Below are 6,645 nucleotides of genomic sequence, written 5' to 3'. Positions count from 1 at the left end.
GTAATGGCTTTATGCCAGTCAGAGTGGAGTTTGCTACTCCATCAAGGTGGTGGAGAGAGAGTAAAACCCAACAAGATCTGAGTAGGAAACAGGGAAGTGAGTGCTAGATAGACCACCGACAACGTCTCTTCCACAGCTGGGGCAGGAAGCTTGGCCTAAGGGACACAGATGAATAAATATGCTCTGGTACCTGCCTCAAGTTGTTCCCAGACTGGTCTGAGAGAATCAGGGAATAATTTGCAATTTACTGTGGGAAGGTTGAGGTCCACGCAGGAGAGAAGGGAGGGTAAGATTCCCTAAGGAAGTGACCTATGAACTGAGCCATAAAGAAGGAGGGCGAACATGGCCAACATTCTCGTATACCCAGCACCTCTCTGTTGGAGAAATGTTCCTTCCCCATCACACATGGTTCTTGTCCAACTGCCAAACTAGGGTGCACACATGACCCCAGCTTGGCCAGTCAAGTGCCAATCCCTCTAGCCACAATGATTAGTCCCAGAAGCAGGCATGTAACCCAAGCTGGGTCACTCGAGGCCCTCCATAAGATTGCTCTGTGGATGCTGAGAGGAGAGTTCCACTTCTTGTTGGACCATAAGCCATAGACTATAAACTCAGTCTACCCCAGTGACCTGCTCTCCTCCCATGGGGAAAAACCTGCTTGAGAATAAAGCCAGCTCAGAAAAGCAGAGCCAGGAGATGGAGAAGTGCTGCATCCAGCTATTCTTGAAGCCACCGGATCCTCCCTTAGACTTCCCACATATATCAGCCCACAAAGGCTTCTTTTGGCTTAAACTAGTTTGCTTTAGAGTTTTGTGATTTGTAACTAAAAAAGGCCTATTACAAGTGAATTTTGGCAAAAAGAAAGATGAAGTAGGATCCTGAGAGAGAGGACAGCATGAGGCCCTGCCTCCCACTAGGTGCTGGGCCAAGCTGCTGCAATTTCTCAGTGACTCATTGTCCCCAGGTTGCTCACAGCCTTCTCAGAGAGAAAAGACACCCACACATGCAATGATGAGAAACCAACTCTAATCATAATGATAATGCAATGAAGGGCTCAGTAAATGTTAGTATGCACCAGGCATTGTTCTGAACTCATTCAACTACCTAATATTATGGGGTAGGTATCAGCTACCCCATAATAACATCCCATTTACAGATGAGGAAACTGAGGCTTAGGAGGTTACATACCTTGCTTTGTCAAGCAATTGAGTGGTTGAGCCAACATTCAAACTCAGGCCATTTGGCTTACAGAGAGAGCCTCTTCATTACAACTCACTGGGGCCCCACTCCCATTACAGTGTATGTGAATGGTACTCCCTATACTTGGGCAGTGCCCAACCTGTGCAGCCATATATGGCAGCTCTGCTTGAAGACCCCCCTCCTCTTAACCACTCACTTCCATGTTCACTGGGCCACACCATAAGTATGGTGGGCGTTGTTGGTAGAGAGTTCCAAGAACAGAGACAGTTTTGTGGAGGAGGTGGGATGAGAGCTGACATCCCAAAATTGGATGGAATTGTGAAAGAAGGAAGACAGATATAAATAGAAAGAAGAACCCTAGAAGACCGACTGGGCCTGGTTCACCAGAGAAGAAACTTAACTTTCAAGGATCAGTCATGAGCACTCTAGCTGTTCTCTGTTGCATACCTACTATCTGCCTGGCACTGTGCCAGGCCCTTTACCCACCCCTCCTATCTGATGCTTACCATGCACCTCCAAGGAGAGTAATATTCCAGCCTGCAGATGACACAGAGACTCAAAGAGATGCTGTGCCTTGCTGAGGCCATGCAGCCTTGATGCAGGAATAGTTGCTGCCCCCAGGTAGCACCATCCCTGGCAGAGTTCTTACAATCATATCAGTGTCTGCTGGAGCCAAAAGATGCCTCCTTTATGAGTGTGGAGGAAGCTGGGTTGTCATGAGGAGGGCGGATTAGTTCCAGTACCTCAAGTCTCCAAATTTAATTCAAAACAATTCTGATTCCTTATCACTAGTTTGGAGGCAAAGCCTTTTGTGTCTTGGCCCTAGAAAGCATCTGTCTTGCACATCATGGTCTCCCCAGAGTTCCAAATGCCTTACAGCTGACTTTCAGCAACACCAGGGTGAGTGAGAACGGGGAGGGTGAGCTCTGACCCACAGTGGGTCCCCAGCCCCTGTCTGCTCCTGAGTACTCTGGGCACCAAGTGCTCTGGGTCCCAGTTGGCTCCTGCTGAAAAGAAAGTGATGGCAGGAGCTTTGTGGAAATGTGGTCGGGGAGTAAATTTATTTCTTGGCCTGGGGCTCAGGACTCAATGGAAAGAACCAAGTCCAGTGGACTGTAACTCACTCGTTTAGGTATCAATAAACTCCCCATTTCTTCTCTTCACCTACCTAATTACCCTATTCACTTATTCACTCCATCCACACACCTCCACTTCTTCATTATACTTTTGTTCCCTCATTCAGTGACCCTGTCACCATGGCTGAGAGCTATGGAGGTGACTAAGGCTCCAGAAATGGGGACACACTAGACAGACAATCAAAACACTAGGCCGCAAGAGCAATAAGAAGACTGCAGGCCGGGCACGGTGGCTCACGCCTGTAATCCCAGCACTTTGGGAGGCCGAGGCGGGCGGATCACGAGGTCAGGAGATCGAGACTATCCTGGCTAACATGGTGAAACCCCTTCGCTACTAAAAATACAACAAATTAGCCGGGCGTGGTGGCGGGCACCTGTAGTCCCAGCTACTCAGGAGGCTGAGGCAGGAGCATGGCGTGAACCCGGGAGGCGGAGCTTGCAGTGAGCCGAGATCGCGCCACTGCACTCCAGCCTGGGTAACAGAGCGAGACTTCATCTCAAAAAAAAAAAAAAAAAAAGAAAAGAAAAAAGAAAAAAGAAGACTGTGCAAAGTTGGCAGGGACCTGGGGCAGAGAAAGACTTAACAACAGCTTAGAGGGTCAGGAAAGGCTTCAGGGAGGATGTGGAAAGAAAATTGCTGGGCAGAAGATAACATTCCAGACAAAAGGAGCAAGGCACAGAGGTGTGAACAGCTGGCCTGCTTAGAGAGAAGTAAGAACTGCAGTGTGACTGGAGCCCTGGGTGTGTGGAGGGGAAAGGAAAGGATAAGAGATGAAGCTAGAAAGTAGGTTGAAGACCAGGCTGGGCAAGGGTTTGAATGGCAGATTAAGGAGCATGGACTTTATTCTCTAGACAATGGTGCTCCAAGTGTGGTCCCTGGACTGCCAGCAACAGCATCACTTAGGAAATTGATAAAAATGCAAATTCTCAGGCCACAGACCTACTGAATCAACAGCTCTGGGTGTATAGTCAGGCGCCGTGGCTCACACCTGTAATCCCAGCACTTTGGGAGGCCAAGGAAGGCGGATCATCTGAGGTCAGGAGTTCAAGACCAGCCTGGCCAATATGGTGAAACCCTGTCTCTACTAAAAATACAAAACGTAGCCAGGCATGGTGGCACGCACCTGTAATCCCAGCTACTTGGGAGGCTGAGGCAGGAGAATTGCTTGAACCTGGAAGGTGGAGGTTACAGTGAGCAGAGATCACACCACTGCACTCAAGCCTGGGCGACAGAGTGAGACTGTCTCAAAAAAAAAAAAAAACCTCTGGGTATGGGGCATAGCCTTACATTATATATAACATGCCTTCTAGGTGATTCCTGGTGCATATTAAAGTTTGAGAATCACATTCTGAAGTAACAGGGAGCCACTGGTGGTTTGTGAGCAGAAAGCACTCTCAGAGCAGCATAGAGGCTGGACTAATGAGAGGGAGTGAGGGTGAAGTTGGTGCAAAGAAATACAAGTGAGATGTGGAATGTGGCAGACTGGTAGATGTCCTCCAAAATCTGTTTCAGTAATATCTCATGTGGAAACTGGAATCATACATTGAAAATACTCTCCATACATTTGATAGCAAATGGAAATTAAGTTTCACATGGTGATTTCTTATCAAAACCTTTAATCAAAAGCTCAGGGCATATTGTTTTTTGTTTTTTTGGGGTTTTTTTTTGAGACAGGGTCTTGCTCTGTTGCCCAGGCTGGAGTGCAGTGGCATAATCTAAATCACTGCAACCTCAGCCTCCCAGGTTCAAGTGATTCTCCTGCCTCAACCTCCCGAGTAGCTGGGGTTACAGGCGTGTGCCACCACGCCCAGCTAATTTTTGTATTTTTAGTAGAGACAGGGTCTCACCATGTTGGTGAGAACTCCTGGGCTCAAGTGATCCTCCTGCCTCGGCCTCCCAAAGTGCTGGGATTATAGGCATGAGCCCAGCCAAAAAAAAAAAAAAAATTACTCAAACATCTTGGAGCATATAGCCTTGTCCTAATTTAGGATTACTTCTCTGAAATTGATTGCCAGAAGAGGAGTCCCTGAATCAAAAGGCCTCGACATTATTTAAGCCTTTGATGCATATTGCCAAATTGCTTTCCAAAGGATCTTTAGCAAATCATTTTCCCACCAGAATGTAGGACTACTCATTCCTCACATCAACATCAGCCTTCAGTGTTACCAGCTTTTTAAACTTCAAATTTGAAAGGCTGCAAATGACCTTCTATTTTGTACTTTTTTGTATCACTAGTGAGATACAAAATGTCCTGTGTTTACTGTGTTTTATCTGTATCCTTTGACCATTTATTAGGTTCTTACTGTTTGTTATCAATCCTGTGTGCTGTTTATATAATAAATATATTAAGCCATTGTCTACAAAACATTTCCCCAGTCTGAAGTTTGCCTTTCATTTTTGGCTACCATTTCGGAGTAGAGTAGGGTTTTCACTTTTTGAAAAAAAGTTAAAAAAAAGTAACAAAAGTTAAAGTTTTGTTTTTTTTTTTTTTTTTTTTGAGACAGAGTCTGGCTCTGTCATTCTGGCTGGAGTGCAATGGTGCAATCTCAGCTCAATGCAGTCTCCGCCTACCAGGTTCAAGTGATTCTCCTGCATCAGCCTCCCGAGTAGCTGGGACTACAGGCATGCGCCACCACACCTGGCTAATTTTTGTATTTTTAGTAGAGATGGGGTTTCACTATGTTGCCCAGGCTGGTCTTGAACTCCTGACCTCAGGTGATCCTTCTGCCTTGGCCTCCCAAAGTGCTGGGATTCAGGAGTGAGTCACCACGCCCAGCCAAAGAATTTTAAAAAATAAACCTGTCCATCTTTTCCTTGTTATTTCTTCCATTTTCTCTAATCTTAGTTAACTACTCACTCTTTCAATAGCTTCTTTTCTGTCAGGTTCAAGAATTCATGGAGGCCAGCCATACTGGCTCACGCCTATAATCCCGGCACTCTGGGAGACCCAAGCAGGAGGATCACTTGATTCCAGAGTTCCAGAGAAGTCTGGGCAACAGAGGGAGTAGAGACCCGATATCTACAAAAAATAAAAAACTAAAAAAAATTAGCCAGGTATGGTGGTACACACCTGCAGCCCCAGCTACTCCGGAGGCTGAGGTGGGATGATCACTCCAGCCTGGGAAGTCAAGGCTGCAGTGAGCCATGATGGCGCCGCTGCACCACAGCCTGGGTGACAGAGTGAGGCCCTGTCTCAAAAAAATAATAAATAAATAAATAAATAAAAGAATTGATGGAGATGTCTGCACTGTTTAGCCATTCAAAAAAAAAAAAAAGAAGAAAAGATCATCCCCCTTTTCCCTGAGAACATTTGACTTTCCTTGACTCACCTTTTTTTAAATTATTATTCATTTATTTATTTTTGAGACGGAGTCTCGCTCTGTCGCCCAGGCTGGAGTGCAGTGGCGCGTGGTCTCTGCTCACTGCAAGCTCTGCCTCCCGGGTCCACGCCATTCTCCTGCCTCAGCCTCCTGATTAGCTGGGACTACAGGCGCCCGCCACCACGCCTGGCTAATTTTTTGTATCTTTAGTAGAAATACAAAAGATAACAGGGTTTCACCATGTTAGCCAGGATGGTCTCGATCTCCTGACCTCATGATCCACCCGCCTCAGCCTCCCAAGGTGCTGGAATTATAGGCGTTAGCCACCGCACCCAGCCACTTTTTTTTTTTTTTTTTGAGATGTAGTCTTGCCGTGTCACCCAGGCTGGAGTACAATGGTGCAATCTCAGCTCACTGCAACTTCCATCTCCTGGGTTCAAGCAATTCTCCTGCCTCAGCGTCCCAAGTGGCTGGGGATACAGGTGCATGCCACCACACCCAGCTAATTTTTGTATTTTTAGTAGAGACAGGGTTTCACCACGTTGGCCAGGCTGGTCTTAAACTCCTGACCTCAGATGATCTGCCCACCTTGGCCTCCCCACGCCTGGCCCTTCACTCACTTTTTGATTAGTACTTTGAAATGTGCTCATCGGGACTGGGGGCTGCAGAAGGATGTATATGTATACGCATCCAAAAAATCTGGAAGAATTGTACTAAAAATGTGAACACTGGTTGTCTCTGGTTGGTGGGGGCCCGGCTGAGAGTGTTGTGTTATTCTTGCCTCCCTCGCACCCCTAATTCCTTTGGACAAGATACCTCTTCCATTCCTTATGGCTGCCCATTACAGTACACTTGCTCAATATAGCACCCTAATTCTCCTGGCAACAGTTTTGGAGGCCAAGGGGTGAACATGTCACTCTATCACTCAAGCAGAGCCAGAGTCCTTCCCTGAGAATGAGATAGGAAATTGGGAGGATGCTTTCCTTCC

The 6,645-nt window shown here is 46.8% G+C and overlaps 1 protein-coding gene across 9 annotated transcripts in view, besides 1 other annotated feature; it reads right to left on the bottom strand.

The window, feature by feature from the left end:
* Window positions 1–6,645, bottom strand: part of OGG1 (8-oxoguanine DNA glycosylase) — a 41,119-nt gene that overhangs the window by 11,828 nt on the left and 22,646 nt on the right. The gene's annotated exons all lie outside the window — the stretch shown is intronic.
* Window positions 804–1,098: an enhancer, noted in NCBI's record as "tiled region #4794; K562 Activating DNase matched - State 6:EnhF". NCBI's record gives its function as "activates a minimal TATA promoter and a strong SV40 promoter by Sharpr-MPRA in K562 cells {active_cell/tissue: K562}" and the evidence as "EXISTENCE:reporter gene assay evidence [ECO:0000049][PMID:27701403]".

Source organism: Homo sapiens, chromosome 3 (genome assembly GCF_000001405.40).
Source record: "Homo sapiens chromosome 3, GRCh38.p14 Primary Assembly".
In the NCBI taxonomy this organism is placed as follows: domain Eukaryota; kingdom Metazoa; phylum Chordata; class Mammalia; order Primates; family Hominidae; genus Homo; species Homo sapiens.
This window is presented reverse-complemented; position numbering and strand designations above follow the sequence as displayed.